This window comes from Homo sapiens, chromosome 1 (assembly GCF_000001405.40).
Source record: "Homo sapiens chromosome 1, GRCh38.p14 Primary Assembly".
Lineage (NCBI taxonomy): Eukaryota > Metazoa > Chordata > Mammalia > Primates > Hominidae > Homo > Homo sapiens.
In genome coordinates this window covers 77,733,062-77,749,665 of record NC_000001.11, presented here as the reverse complement: position 1 = coordinate 77,749,665, position 16,604 = coordinate 77,733,062, and the positions used below count along the sequence as shown (strand labels likewise).

At 36.9% G+C, this 16,604-nt stretch overlaps 1 protein-coding gene across 16 annotated transcripts in view; it reads left to right on the top strand.

Moving 5' to 3' along the window:
- Positions 1-16,604, top strand: part of USP33 (ubiquitin specific peptidase 33) — a 63,866-nt gene that overhangs the window by 10,187 nt on the left and 37,075 nt on the right. For 9 of the 16 annotated variants that reach the window (XM_047449735.1, XM_047449731.1, NM_001377430.1 and 6 more), the window contains exons 2-8: positions 4,067-4,245; positions 7,918-8,049; positions 8,237-8,290; positions 8,727-8,789; positions 10,249-10,401; positions 13,508-13,610; positions 15,250-15,319. In XM_047449735.1, the coding sequence (XP_047305691.1) occupies positions 4,204-4,245; positions 7,918-8,049; positions 8,237-8,290; positions 8,727-8,789; positions 10,249-10,401; positions 13,508-13,610; positions 15,250-15,319 (617 nt within the window). In that variant the 5' untranslated portion in view covers positions 4,067-4,203. The remainder of the gene's footprint in view (positions 1-4,066; positions 4,246-7,917; positions 8,050-8,236; positions 8,291-8,726; positions 8,790-10,248; positions 10,402-13,507; positions 13,611-15,249; positions 15,320-16,604) is intronic. The other 7 variants (NM_001377437.1, NM_001377436.1, NM_001377431.1 and 4 more) reach the window with 1 other exon arrangement.

The following is a 16,604-nucleotide window of genomic DNA, read 5'->3' as shown; positions in this document are numbered from 1 at the left end:
TCATGCCTGTAATTCCGGCACTTTGGGAGGCTGAGGAGAGTGGATCACCTGAGGTCAGGAGTTTGAGATCAGCCTGGCCAACATGGTGAAATCCCATCTCTACTAATAATACAAAAATTAGCCAGTCGTGGTGGCACACGCCTGTAGTCCCAGCTATTTGGGAGGCTGAGACAAGAGAATCGTACGAACCTGGGAGGTGGAGGTTGCAGTGAGCCAAGATTGTACCACTGCACTCCAGCCTGGGCAGCAGAGCGAGACTCCGTCTCCAAAAAAAAAAACAAACAAAACAAAAAACATAAAAAAATACAACCAAAGGCAAGTAGGATATGGATATTAATGGAATTGAAAACAGATCAGAACAAAAATAGTGGAGAAGATAAATAAATCCCAAATCTGGTTCTTTGCAAATACCAATGATCTAGATAAACATCTTGTAGAAGAAAAAGATATGGAATAAAAATGTACAAGATTGGGAATGAGTAAACACCATAGACCCCAAATACAGGAGACATTAATGGAATCTTTTGCAGATTTTCTTGAGAATATACATGTAATGCTATACTGTCAAAGTTATTTCAAGAGAAAATGGATGTTGTTATAGCAAAATGTCAATGAGTAAAATTGACCCAAGAAGTAAAAATGTTAATTGCCCAATCCCCATGAAAGGTTTGAAAAAATGATGGAAGATTGGTTCTTGACAGAGGCAGCATAGCATATAATTTCACAGCTGAGTTTCATTTATGAAGAACAACACATCATTATAATAAAAAGGAACTCTCTTTTCCATGATGAAGAATGCAAAGCTAGTCAATGCATTCTGTGAAGCACACATATTTTATCTCTGATAAATGCTGCCAATCCTGATTCAAGCACGGGGGGGGGGGGGAGGGAAGGAATGCTGCCAAAAAAGAACAGTCTCACTTATGCCCAGAAATGCAAAATTTCTAAATACAATATTAGCCATAGTTCATCAAGACCATTTCTTTTTTTTTTTTTTTGAGACGGAGTCTCGCTGTGTCGCCAGGATGGAGTGCAGTGACGCAATCTTGGCTCACTGCAGCCTCTGCCTCCCGGGTTAAAGTGATTCTCCTGCCTCAGTCTCCTGAGTAGCTGGGACTACAGGCGCCTGCCACCATGCCTGGCTAATTTTTGTATTTTTAGTAGAGATGGGGTTTCACCATATTGACCAGGCTAGTCTTAAACTCCTGATCTTGTGATCCACCCGCCTCAGCCTCCCAAATTGCTGGGATTACAGATGTGAGCTACCATGCCCAGCCCATCAAGACCATTTCTAATAAGTAAAGTAAGAATAGAGGGAAGTTACAGCAAATATCCTAAATGTCAAGAGCATTAAAATTAGAAACTTGATGGGGACTTGGGGATGCCCATGATCACATTTGTATTCAGTATTGTCTTAAGAGGTTCTGGTAAATGCATTAAAACAGTAAAAGTGAATAATGGTGTTAATATCAGAAAATAAGAACTAAAACTCCTCCCCTTGAAATAAGAACTAAAACTCCTCCCCTTGAAAAGAAGTAAAACTTTTTGAAAGGTTGAAACAAAATAAAAATGGAAAACTTATGTTTTCCATTACAGCCACAGTGTAGCCAGGGAAACCATGAAAAGGATTAGTGAGGAGGTGTGTCTTTTGTTACCAAAATATTGTATCTAGCCTCTGTAATCAGATTAATATGGTATTGTCATAGATTGGTGGAATAAAATAGAGAATCCAGAAATCCAGTATATGTGCAGATTTAATAAAAGATAAAGGTAGTATTACAGTTCAATGGGAAATGGGGAGATTATTTAATAAGTGGTGCTGGTACAACTGTCTGCCCATCTGGAAGAAAATAAAATTGGGTTCCTATCTTAAGATAAATTCCAGATGGATCAAAGCCTTATAGAAATACTTAAGGTTATTCTCCAGGTTTAGTTATACAAGCTAGGGTAAAGGAAATGTGAAGATAAGAAACTCAGAAGCTATTACAAGAGGCATATTTAATTTTACAAAAATTAAGACCTTTTAATGGTAAAGGATACCATAAGAAAGTTAATAACAGTATTGGCATTAAGACAGACATATTGACCAATGGAATAGATTAGGAATAGGCTTGGTGCAGTGGCTCATGCTTATAATCCCAGCGCTTTGGGAGTCCAAGGTTAGGAGGATTGCTTGAGGCTAGGAGTTTGAGACCAGCCTGGTCAACATAGCAAGACTTTGTCTCCACAAAAGAAAGTTAAAAATTAGCCAGGTGGGGTGGCTCACACCTGTAGTCCTAGCTGCTTGGAAGGCTGCGGCAGTGGAATTGTTTGGGTCTATGAGTTGGAGGTTGCAGTGAGCTATGATCATGCCACTGCACTCCCCTGAGTAATGAAAGTAATGGAACAAGACACCATCTCTTTAAAAAAAAAAAAAAAAAAAAAAGCCCAGAAGCCCAGAAATAAATCCTTATGTACTATATATGATCAAATGATTTTTGACAGTGATGCCAAGACCATTCAGTGGGGAGAGGGCAATCTTTTCAGCATGGTGTTTACCACAATTAAAAAGGTAGGTAGGTAAGTTTGAAAAAATATTTTGCAATATAGAGGATAGAGGATTAATTTTAAAAGAAGAGGTTATGGACCCAATAGTAAAAAGGGCAAAAGATTTAAAGAAGCAATTAATAAAAGAACAAATCCAGAAAGCTGTAACATTTATGAAAAGACATTCAAACTTACTGGTTGTCAGGATAACGTAAATTAAAGTACTAGTGAAATATTATAACATAGCTCTTATTATTTTGAGATATGTCCCATCAATACCTAGTTTATTGAGAGTTTTTAGCATGAAGGGCTGTTGAATTTTGTTGAAGGCCTTTTCTGCATCTATTGAGATAATCATGTGGTTTTTGTCTTTGGTTCTGTTTATATGATGGATTATGTTTATTGATTTGCGTATGTTGAACCAGCCTTGCATCCCAGGGATGAAGCCAACTTGATCGTGGTGGATAAGCTTTTTGATGTATTGCTGGATTCGGTTTGCCAGTATTTTATTGAGGATTTTTGCATCGATGTTCATCAGGGATATTGGTCTAAAATTCTCTTTTTTTTGTTGTGTCTATACCAGGCTTTGGTGTCAGGATGATGCTGGCTTCATAAAATGAGTTACGGAGGATTCCTTCTTTTTATATTGATTGGAATAGTTTCAGAAGGAATGGTACCAGCTCCTCTTTGTACCTCTGGTAGAATTCGGCTGTGAATCCGTCTGGTCCTGGACTTTTTTTGGTTGGTAGGCTATTATTGCCTCAATTTCAGAGCCTGTTATTGGTCTATTCAGGGATTCAGCTTCTTCCTGGTTTAGTCTTGGGAGGGTGTATGTGTCCAGGAATTTATCCATTTCGTCTAGATTTTCTGGTTTATTTGCGTAGAGGTGTTTATAGTATTCTCTGATCGTAGTCTGTATTTCTGTGGGATTGGTGGTGATATCCCCTTTATCATTTTTTATTGCATCTGTTTGATTCTTCTCTCTTTTCTTCTTTATTAGTCTTGCTAGCGGTCTATCAATTTTGTTGATCTTTTCAAAAAACCAGCTCCTGGATTCATTAATTTTTTGAAGGGTTTTTTGTGTCTCTATTTCCTTCAGTTCTGCTCTGATCTTAGTTATTTCTTGCCTTCTGCTAGCTTCTGACTGTGTTTGCTCTTTCTTCTCTAGTTCTTTTCATTGTGATGTTAGGGTGTCGATTTTAGATCTTTCCTGCTTTCTCCTGTGGGCATTTAGTGCTATAAATTTCCCTCTACACACTGCTTTAAATGTGTCCCAGAGATTCTGGTATGTTGTGTCTTTGTTCTCATTGGTTTCAAAGAACATCTTTATTTGTGCCTTCATTTCATTATTTACCCAGTAGTCATTCAGGAGCAGGTTGTTCAGTTTCCATGTAGTTGTGTGGTTTTGAGTGAGTTTCTTAATCCTGAGTTCTAATTTGATTGCACTGTGGTCTGAGAGACAGTTTGTTATAATTTCTGTTCTTTTACATTTGCTGAGGAGTGCTTTACTTCCAACTATGTGGTCAATTTTGTTTACAAGAGCTCCTGAAGGAAGCACTAAACATGGAAAGGAACAACCGGTACCAGCCACTGCAAAAACATGCCAAATTGTAAAGACCATCGATGTTAGGAAGAAACTGCCTCAACTAATGAGCAAAATAACCAGCTAACATCGTAATGACAGGATCAAATTCACACATAACGATATTAACCTTAAAGGTAAGTGGGCTAAATGCCCCAATTAAAAGACCCAGACTGGCAAATTGGATAAAAAGTCAAGACCCATCAGTGTGCTGTATTCAGGAGTCCCATCTCATGTGCAGACACACACATAGGCTCAAAATAAAGGGATGGAGGAAGATCTACCAAGCAAATGGAAAACAAAAAAGCAGGGTTTGCAATCCTAGTCTCTGATAAAACAGGCTTTAAACCATCAAAGATCAAAAGAGATGAAGAAGGCAATTACATAATGGTAAAGGGATCAATTCAACAAGAAGAGCTAACTATCCTAAATATATATGCACCCAATACAGGAGCACCCACATTCATAAAGCAAGTCCTTAGAGACCTACAAAGAGACTTAGACTCCCACACAATAATAATGGGAGACTTTAACACCCACTGTCAACATTAGACAGATCAACGAGACAGAAAGTTAACAGGGATGTCCAGGAATTGAACTCAGCTCTGCACCAAGTGGACCTAATAGACATCTACAGAACTTTCCACACCATATCAACAGAATATACATTCTTAGCACCGTGTCGCACTTATTCCAAATTTGTTTTTGTTTTTGGCACAGGATCTTGCTGTGTCACTCAGACTGGAATGCAGTGGTGTGATCACAGCACACTGTAGCTGCCATCTACTGGGCTCAGGTGATCCTCTCACCTCAGCCTCGTGAGTAGGTGGGACTATAGGCACGTGCCACCATGCCTGGATGATTTTTTAAATTTTTAGTAGAGACGAGGTCTCGCTATGTTGCTCAGGCTGGTCTCTAACTCCTGAGCTCAAGGAATCCTCCTGCCTTGGCCTCCCGAAGTGCTGGGATTATAGGCATTAGCTACTGTACCCAGCCTGTTGGCTATTTTTTAAGATTTTCTTTTTATTACTAGTTTTAAGTAATTTGTTTTTGATGTACATGGTGTAGTTTGTGTGTTTTGTGCTGAGTTTAAATTGCTTGTGGATCTGTAGGGCTCTAGTTTTCATCAAATTTGAACATTTTCCCCTATATCACTGATGTTCTGATTTAATTTTTAAGATTAAGATTTAGTCTATCTTTGTTCTGTCATCTGTGCTATTTCTTGGTTTCTTCTTTTTCTCTTCACTGTGGGTCAGAATTTCCTTCTTAGAATGCCTGTCATTTTTTATTAGATGCCAGTTATTGTGATTTTTACCTTGATGGGTACTGAATTTTTTCATTCCTTTAAATGTCCTTAAGCTTTGTTCCGAACACAATTCCTTTGGAACAGTTTGATCCTTCTAAGACTTCTTTTTGAACTTTTTTTTTTTTTTTTGAGACAGAGTCTTGCTCTGTCCTCAGGTTGGATTGCAGTGGCGCGATCTCAGCTCACTGCAACCTCTGCCTCCTGGGTTCAAGCAATTCTCCTGTCTCAGCCTCCTGAGTAGCTGGGACTATAGGTGCACACCACCACGCCCAGCTAATGTTTGTATTCTTAGTAGAGATGGGGTTCCCTTGGCCAGGATGTTCTCGATCTCCTGACCTCGTGATCCGTCCACCTTGGCCTCCCAAAGTGTTGGGATTACAGGGGTGAGCCACTGCGCCCAGCCCTTTTTGAACTTTTTAAAGACAGAACCAAAGTAACCTTTAGATTAAGGATAATTTCTTCCGATTATTGAGGCAATGCCATTCTGAGTGCATTATTTCCTCTATTATGGTGTCTTTCAACTGTGGCTGATGAGAATACCAACAACCCTTAAAGGCTTTGAGAATTGTTTTACCTAATCCTTTCCCGTGGTTTTTTTCTCTGGCTTGGGGTAGTCTAATCACATGGCGTGCACCTGTAGTTGTAGCTACATGGGAGGCTGAGACAGGAGGACGGTTTGAGACCAGGAGGTTGAGGCTGCAGTGAGTTGTGTTTGCCCCATTGTACTCCAGTGTGAGTGACAGAATGAGGCCCTGTCTCAAAAGAAAAAAGAAATGTTTGCACTATTAACCCTAGAGTGGTTCCTGGTGAATTTTGTGTGTTGCAGCGTAATAGTGAATTGATTATTTGATTTGATTTTGTTCAACTTTTCTTAAAAAAATGTATTTACACAAACCTGCACATTGTGCACATGTACCCTAGAACTTAAAGTATAATAAAAAAAATGTATTTACTAATGTGTTAATATTTCAGCAAATTTATTGCAATGGGTTTAAAAGGCAGACAGAGGCCAGGCGCAGTGGCTCACACCTGTAATCCCAGGACTTTGGGAGACTGAGGCGGGTGGATCACCTGAGGTCGGGAGTTCGAGATCAGCCTGACCAACATGGAGAAACCCCATCTCTACTAAAAATACAAAAAAAGTGGTCGGGTGTGGTGGCGCATGCCTGTAATCCCAGCTACTCGGGAGGCTGAGGCAGGAGAATCACTTGAACCTGGGAGGTGAAGTTTGCGGTGAGCTGAGATCACGCCATTGCACTCCAGCCTGGGCAGCAAGAGTGAAACTCTGTCTCAAAAATAAATAAATAAATAAATAAATAAATAAATAAATAAATAATAAAAGGCAGACAGACACTCTTATATAAGCTACAGGGTAACAAAGGGGTTCTATATAGTTATAAACTATTACATAGACCTGCATGGTTTATTGAATAACTTATAAACCACAAAGGAAATTAAATTTACAGTGTTTCTGAAGTTCAAACTTTTAAACTGTTTCATTCTATCCTAGCAAGTTCTAAACTTTTTTTGGGAAAGTGTTCTCAAACCTCAAAGTTGAATTAAGAGCATGAAAAGCCCTGTTATTAAAAAGGTACAACCAAAAGATCTAGGAATACCAAATTAGACTTGAGACCTTTGGAAATCACTCGCTTTACTTGAACCAAACACTGTGGATCAGTAAAGTTTGCATCTCTTAGCCTTATGTGCAAATGAAGCTAATAATGGTGCCTATTTCAGGGGTTGTAAAGATCATGAAAATGGGGTTCTCAAACCTGGAGAGATTTTGTCCCCCAGAGGGTATAATTTAAAACAGTCTAGAGACACTGGTCATCAGAGTTCAGAGTGGTGGCAGGGATGGTCTGTCTGTCTCTTGTGGATAGAAGTGGGAATGTTGCCAAATAACCTGCAGTGCACAGGACAATCCCTCACAGCGAAGAATTATCTGGCCCTAAGTGTCAATAGTGCCGGGATCGAGAAACCCTGATATAAAGTGCTTATCCTGGTATAAGGCCAGGATACCAGATGATTTAATTTATGCCATCAGTAGGGGGTCCTATTAGTAGAAAAATGAAGCTTTCTACTTGAAGTTTTTTTTTTTCAACTCCTAGTCCAGCCTAAGGATTAATTTTTTTTTTAAAAGGATAAAAGTGCTTCACAGTTGAATAACTTGAATATTCCCCCCTTTTATTTATCTATAAAAAGTGAAATGAGAGGGGAAAAGCAGCAAAAGTCATGGAGAAACAAACTTACATTTGTTTATAGATGTCAATTTTAATAAAATGTTTATGTAGTAGAGAAATTTCCAGTGTTCAGATTAACTTCAATTCTGAAAACTCATCTATGTTTGAGAATACACTCTTTTTACAGGGCAAACTTATATCATTCTTATGTTATCTTTTAATCATTTTTAATATGTTAACATTTTAATTTTTTTATTTTTTGGAATCTTTGCAGGCATTGTAAGCATTTATTAATTTTTTTGTGTGTGTTACTTTTCTTATAGGTGTTACCTCATTTTGAAAGTCTTGGGAAACAGGAAAAAATTCCTAACAAAATGTCAGCTTTTCGAAATCATTGTCCACATTTGGATTCAGTTGGTGAAATAACAAAAGAAGATTTGATACAAAAATCCCTTGTAAGAAACAGGTTTTTTCTTCCTTGAAAAACTATTCACTTTTCTCTTGAATGTGTAATTTTCATAAATTACTGTAATACTCTATGAGCAGTATTTTAAAAATATGTATGATGTCATTAGTGCATTAGTGAATTGTATGTGTTTGTGTCAATATAACCAATGTTGTCTTTTTAATTTCTTTTTATAGGGTACTTGTCAGGATTGTAAAGTCCAAGGACCAAATCTTTGGGCATGTCTGGAGGTGTGTATATGTTTTTTCCTGAAAAGATTGCTATAATAATAATAAATTTGGATCTGAATAATCATAACCAGAAAATTTTTGATACTTAAAGTGATTTTTGTAAATTAAACTTGCTTTTAAAAGGTCATTATTAATAACAAAAATTAAACTTTGGAAAGATCTTAATCTGTAGTGCTTTTGTAGTTTTTAGTAAATCACTCAGCTATTTTATGCTTGCCTTTTATTAGAAATGACATAGCTTTTAGCTTAGAAATATATCCTGGTTTTATTTTGTGCCTGGAAACATTTGGTTAAATTTAATGACTGGAAAGTCATTTACTCATTGAATGTAAAACAGGTAATCCAAACTTAATTGTAAATGTAATTGTAATGCTGTTATAAATTTACATGTATATTATAAAGTACCTTATTTTTCTTCCTATATAATTATTTATAGAATAGATGTTCATATGTTGGCTGTGGTGAATCACAAGTAGATCACAGCACCATACATTCTCAGGTATGTATATAAAAAATTTAATGGAAGACTTGTTAAAAAAAGTGCCTGAAGGAAAGGGAAAGCCAGTATAACATTATTAATTCAAGTTGTAATTCAAATTTGCACTCTAAGTTAAAACTTCACTTACATTCTCTGTGAAGGATGGGGAAGGGAATTGCTAGGAGGATGAACATTAGAATGAGGTTGTGATTAAGAAAGCACTGATTTCAAAAGTGTACATCCGGCCAGGCATGGTGGCTCACGCCTGAATCCCAGCACTTTGGAAGGCCAAGGCAGGTGGATCACCTGAGGTCAGGAGTTCGAGACCAGCCTGGCCAACATGGCGAAACCCTGTCTCTATTAAAAGTACAAAAAAATTAGCTGGGTGTGGTGGTGGGCACCTGTAATCCCAGCTACTCGGGAGGCTGAGGCAGGAGAATTGTTTGAACCTGGGAGGCGGAGGTTGCAGTGAGCCGAGATCGTGCCATTGCACTCCAGCCTGGGCAACAAGAGCGAAACTCCATCTCAAAAAAAAAAAAAAAAGTGTATATCCAGATATTTGAAGGTGATAGCTGGCATATTAGGAGGTTGAAGCCCAAGAGAGAGTGGGTGCTTAGGTTTATGACATGGCCTGGCTAACTTCTTTAAGTCTCAGCTCATGTCATATTGCCTTTTCCTGCACATAGTCCTAACTGGACTCACCTTTCTGCTTTGCTCTGGTTGTTTGGTACTTCCCATGTAACTCTGGCATGCCTCTTCTATAGTGTTATGTAGAGCTCCCATTCTAAATGGAAAGTTTCTCGAATGACTTTGTTTTAAGATGCACATTGATACCTCTACAGCATCAACTGTTCTCAACCAGGATTCCTCTATAGAATTAATTAAGCCTGAATACCCAAGCTCTGAGTCATCATTGTATATCATTTGCCTCTTTCTGTGCATCTAAGATGGTATTTGCTGTGTACCACCATTGGGAGAATTGATAAATTAGTCACTCAGATCATTTTTTGTAGGGCTTAATTCTGTAGCAGAACTCTGGTTGTGAAAGGCTAGACTTTTATCTTTCCAAGATTATATATTCTGTATTGCTAGAGCTGTTTTATGCCTTGACTCATGTCATTTGTGTTCTTTTGCCATTCTGATTTCTTAGAATAGTTACTTGCTATTGTTAATTATTTTCTTGTGTTATATTTATTTGTAGACTGCAAAGCAAGGTCTTACACTCTTGCGTTTATCTTTTTGTATAATGAATAGTGAGGGGAGAATGGCAGAGTAATTTCTAGAGTAGGCTTAGATGTTGTTACTGTTTATTATACCTTAGAAGTTTATCTAAAGAATTTTTTTCATGTTCTAAATTAGCTTTTGAGTATATTGTTACTCATCAAAGGCAAGCAGTTTATCTTCTGTTATCTTTTGAAGAAGTCTTTTCAAGTATATGTAATTTTGGTTCCTCTTTTCCCTCTACTGTGAAATTATATAGGAGACAAAGCATTATCTAACTGTGAACCTTACCACTCTTCGAGTATGGTGTTATGCTTGCAGCAAAGAAGTATTTTTGGATAGGAAATTAGGAACTCAGCCTTCATTGCCTCATGTAAGACAACCTCACCAAATACAAGAAAACAGTGTCCAGGTAATAATCTAGATCCACTTAGTTAAGCTGTAAAACATTCCGGTAATAATTTCAGAATTTGTCATGTAGCTGAAATTTTCAAAAGGAATACTGCCTAACCTGTACTTTGAAAATTTCTGTAATGTGCCTTTTTTCTCTCAAATAAAGCACTCAGACTCCCCTTTCTTGTGTTGCTTAGAGTGCTAGATTAGGGTGAGATTGAAGCCCACCTGTTTGAAGATGGAAAAGGCCCTAATGAATTTTTGAAGTTTTTTTTTTTAAATGACTCAAGTAGTCTTTATCTTTTTCTGGTAAGTCTGATTTCAAGAAAGGTGGTGGGCCTTCTTTGATAGCATATGGCAGTTACTAATTCAGCTCTCTTCCCCGTTCTCTCCTCCCCTCCATCCCCTTTGTATTACTGTGAACATTTTACTTATTATTGACAACAAAGTAGAATATAATAAAGCTTAGCATCAGTCTTTGGGTTAAAGATTTTTCTCCCTTTGGGCTGGGTGCGGTGGCTCACGCCTGTAATCCCAGTGCTTTGGGAGGCCAAGGCGGCTGGATCACGAGGTCAGGAGATCGAGACCATCCTGGCTAACATGGTGACACCCCGTCTCTACTAAAAATACAAAACATTAGCCGGGTGTGGTGGCGGGCACCTGTATTCCCAGCTACTTTGGAGGCTGAGGCAGGAGAATGGCGTGAACCTGGGAGGCAGAGCTGGCAGTGAGCCGAGACCTTGCCACTGCACTCCAGCCTAGGTGACAGAGTGAGACTCCATCTAAAAAAAAAAAAGAAAAAAAGATTTTTCTCCTTTTGGATCAAGAGACTTAGAAAACACATGGGTTTGCTTGCAGAATTTATCACTTAATTTTCAGAATTCTTAAAGTCATAGAAAAATAGGAAAAAGGAAATTAACTTAGAATAGTTGGCTTCTTAATCAGATCATCAGTTGATCAGAATTTGATCAGATTTGATTAACAGCAAGTTTTTTTCCTCATGTGTGTTATAGAAATCACATATTTCTGTACTTGTTCATTGATACCAACTGTCAGGTTTTTCTGTTGTATGTTTGTATCACATTCTTATGGTAGATATTTGTGATAATAAATTTGCTTGCCTTACACATGAAAGATGGCTAGATTTTAGTCAAAGAATAATTTCTTGCATTTTCAGTTTCTCAGTTGAATGGCTCTAGTTAATTATAACCATTACTGTTTCTCCCACTTATACCTATTTATCATTCACAAACATGTTTAGTCTTTTTCAAAAGTCCAGATAGTATGAAAATGGCCGTTTCGTTGAATCCTCTTACATTATTAACAAAAGTTTGTCCCACTGAAGATAGCTGAATGGTAATAAGTAGAAAAAGTTTTAAAAAAGAAAAAAGTGTAATGTTATGACTAAAGTTTAATCACACAAGGAACTAATAATATATAAAGGCAAAACTATCAGCATCACTTACTAGAGAAGTAAGTTAAATAAGCTATCTGTTGCCATTTCTGCCAGAAAAGATCAAGATTACAAACTTTAATAAATGTTGAATCTGATAGAATAAGTATACTGATACTTTCCTGATGGCTTGTTAATAATTTTCTGATGACTTGTAAATATGTTAACACATAAAAGGCATAAACTTAATTTCATTCAACTTCCTTATGATCCCATTGTTGAAGAAATTATTCAGAAGAAAACAGTGGTTCAGATAGATTTCTTTAGTGGTCCAAAACTTATATGCTGTTGAAATCCAGTTTACCACAGGATATTTGCAAAATAGTAAAATATTGGAGGCCATGCAAATATTAATAAGATTTTTCAAATAGACATTTTTTCTAGATAGTAAAATTTCAGGTGATTTAAGCCTCTGTACTTCTGTGTATTTAGATATTTTGTAGTGAGCATGTATCTTTTTAAAAGCAATTACTTTATGAAAACAAAATGAAAGTATGAAGTCCACTCAAATGTCCAGTCTCTACAGATGTCAGGAAAGTAAAATCGTTGGGAATTAGTGCATATGCCTGCATTTTAGAGGTAAAGTAAGGCTATAATAACTTGGAGAACCAGAGTACATGCTAAATTCTTTCTGCTATTCAGTTTCCTTCTCTGTTTGGGTGTTGCTGAATGTTGGTTCATTGTAGTTCAATCTTCTGATATTACAAGAGAACTTTCAAATTTTGATTTTTATTTGTCGTCTCCGAATTTTTTAAACTTTAGCTCAAAGTTTTTTTCGTTTTTTTTTTTAAAGTGTTTACTAGCATTTGGCTAACAGGTTATCAGTTGCAACCTCTGAGTCAAGCCAATTGTTGGAAATTAATATTAGAATATTATTATTTAAAGTAAGTGCTTGAACTATTTAATATACGTAAAAGTGTGCAGGCCGGGTGTGGTGTCTCACACCTGTAATCCCAGCATTTTGGGAGGCCGAGGTGGGCGGATCATGAGGTCAAGAGATCAAGACCATTCAGGCCAACATGGTGAAACCCCTTCTCTACTAAAAATACAAAAATTAGCTGGGCGTTGTGGCATGCACCTATAGTCCCAGCTGCTTGGGAGTCTGAGGCAGGAGAAGCGTTTGAACCCAGGAGGTGGAGGTTGCAGTGAGCTGAGATCGTGCCACTGCACTCCAGCCTGGCAACAGAGTGAGACTCTGTTTCGGAAAAAAAAAAGTGTGCAAAGTAAATACAGTAATAAGTATCAGGAGAGATTGTAGAAGTCTATAGATAATGTGTTATGATGAAAAACTTTTGCCTTTTTCCCTGTTGAAAATGAGATCTGAGAAGACAGTGTAGGATAGTATCCTTCGGAGATCTTTTTAGCTATGGTTTACTGTCACATAATTGCAGTTATTGTGGAGTTTTAATTCAGAAAATTCGGTTGTAAAAAGTGCCTTTTTAACTCAAATATATATGTTAATAAAGCGGGACTGACATGCTATTACCCTAGGGTTTTATTTCCTTCAAAATATAAATGTAAGTTTAATTGCTAATACCACAAATTCTTATGGTTCCACTATTAAAATAACATCTCAATAATTTTTATGGTATAGATGTTATATAAGTTACAATTAAAACTTTTTTTAAATTTAAGGATTTGTTCAAGTGTGCTATCTTTTTTTGTTATCAAGGATTTTAAAATACCCAGTAATACAACATTAAAAACTCCTCTGGTTGCCGTATTTGATGATCTGGATATAGAAGCGGATGAAGAAGATGAACTTAGGGCCAGAGGTAAATTAATCCTGTGTAACGCTTCTTTGTATGGCACTGCCCATTTCTTTAGAAAACCATATAATGTAAAAGTTTCAAAATGTGGAGGTAAAATGGGCTTGATAATTAAAACAAAAGGACTCTGAAATTTGGCCTAGTAAAATTTTATTTGCAAAACAAACTTTTGGTTTCTCTGGTGTCAGTTTACCAAAGGTAGGATCCTACTTACTCTTTTGCAGTTGAGCCTTATGATCTTTTTGTTTAACTTGCCTTTTGAGGTCTGTTTGAACAGTGTTTCTCATTTTTCTATTGTCAGTGATGGGGAGGTATTAGGTATAAAGGTATTCCCTTAGCAGAAGTTCCGGGGAAAACATTTGGAAAAAGAATCAGGTGATACACTTCTCCCTTCTTCCCCTAAATTGAGAACCGGTCTATTTGGATTTTTCATATTCTTTTAGGCCCACTGTTCTTAGTATAAGCTTAAAATTTTCTGTTTTATAATTGATACTAGTGGTACATTGAATGTATATTTAGATAATTATCTGGAAATTAACACTTTGGTTTAAGCTTAACATGACTAGAGATAAGTTATAAATATTTTATGTATTTCCCAGTTTTAACCCATTAATTTAGCTCACACTATTAATTTTACTGGATACTTATCAATAAGTGGTAATTCAGTCTTGTTTTAGAGATTTTTAGAATTTTAAATTTTCTTCATTTTGCTCCAAATCCAAATAGCATTTATAATTTTTTGTAGTATTTATTTCATCTTTTAATAATGAAAGTAAACTGATGAAAGTGAACTTGACTATATATGGAAGAGATAACAGTCATTCAATGGCTCGTTTTAATATTAGCTTGAACCATATGAAATTGCCATTTTTGTAGATTGTCAGCAGTTTCCTATGGTTCAACCTAATAAATACTACTTTCTTTTTTTCTTTTTTTTTTGAGATGGAGTCTCGCTCTGTTGCCCAGGCTGGAGTGCAGTGGTGCAATCTCGGCTCACTGCAAGCTCCGCCTCCTGGGTTCACACCATTCTCCTGCTTCAGCCTCCCGAGTAGCTGGGACTACAGGCACCCGCCACCATGCCCGGCAAATTTTTTGTATTTTTAGTAGAGATGGGGTTTCGCCATGTTAGCCAGGATGGTCTCGATCTCCTGACCTCGTGATCCACCCACCTCAGCCTCCCAAAGTGCTGGGATTACAGGCGTGAGCCACTGCGCCCGGCATAAATACTACTTTCAGTGCAATACGTTGAAATGGAAAGGAAAAGGGTGTTTGCTTATCATTTATCATGACGAGTTTTTTTGCATTGTCATTAATTTTCTCAAAATAATTAAACTTTAGTTATAATAAGAAATGTAAAAGTCTCAATTAATGCTTTTTAAAAACACGTAGTCTTAAATGTTAATAGGAAAGACTGTTCTTCCTGTGCAAATTTCAAAGTTTGAACTGTTTAATCCTTGAATTTATGTAAAACTCAAAATTTTGGTGATTGTAAGGCTTCCCAAAGTGTGACCTCTCTGAATTGTTCAAGTTGCTATATTGTATTTCCGTGGTCCTTAATGTAATTTGGGAACCATATTAATGACCCCTAAAATTGAGTCATTTTGCATTATTGAATGATGACTTCATGTATATTTTTTCTTAATAGGTCTTACAGGTTTGAAAAATATTGGAAATACTTGTTACATGAATGCAGCTTTGCAGGCTCTTTCTAATTGGTAAATAGAGAAATTAATTTTGTTTTATTTGTATAATTTTTTAAGTTATTTTTTGAGCAGAAAACCTTGCAACTATAGTAGTTGACTAACTCAAGGTAGAACAGGCAAGAATCTGGTTTGGGACATAACCCATTCTTGTCCCAACGATGTTACTCTATGTATACCCGTAGTTTCTTGAGGCTGCTGGTCCTTGTGTAAACCCTGGGTAGTTGTGTGTCTTTGAGCAAGTTATTGTTTCTTACATCTAGAAAATGAGTGTCAGCTAATTATTCAGATCACTTTTAATTCAGAGATCTTATGAAAATATTTTATATTTTTCTGTAGATGGAAAGCCTTTAATAAAGGAGTTAGATTTTTTTTTTAATCGTAGTCTTACAAAATAGATATGTCAGGTGGTTTTACTCAAGTTTGGATGCATTGAGTCAGGTGATATTACCCTTGAAATTAGATGCATTGAGTCTGGACCAAAATTCAGAAATCAATGACTTTGACATTACCCTTTCCCTTGGATTAAATTATAGAGCAGTGATTGGAGATTGAACGTATGTCTACAGGTTGAGTATCCCTCATATGAAATGCTGGGAATCAGAAGTGTTTCAGATTTTTTTGGATTTTGGAGTATTTATTTGCATTATGCTTACTGGTTGAGCTTTCCTTATCCAAAAATCCAATATTTGAAATGCTCCAATGAGCATTTCCTTTGGATATCGTGTTGGCATTCAAAAAGTTTTGGATTTTGGAGCATTTTGAATTTTGTATTTTGTATTAGGGATATTAAAGCTGTACTTCTTCCCCAAATAATCTAATTTTTATTTAGACATAACCCTCCATAAATATTTTGCCTTCAGTTTTCTTATGTTTCATAACCTTGTGAAATAAAGATAACCTAATTTTTATTAAGTGATCAGAGAACACATCTTTGAAGAAGAGACTTTTTTTTTCTTTTTTTTTTTTTAGGCTGGGTCTCACTCTGTTGCCCAGGTTAGAGTGCAGTGGCACGATTTTGGCTCACTGCAGCTCTGCCTCCCGGGTTTGTGTGATCCTCCTGCTTCAGCCTCCTGAGTAGCTGAGACTACAGGCACATGCCACCAAACCTGACTAATTTTTAAATTTTTTGTAGAGATGGGGTTTCACCTTGTTGCCTAGGCTGGTTTTCAACTCCTGGGTTCAAGTGATTCGCATGCCTCAGCCTCCCAAAGTGCTGGGATTATAGGCATGGGCCACTGTGCTCGGACGTTAAAGAAGAGACATTTAGGCCAGGCGTGGTGGTTCATGCCTGTAATCC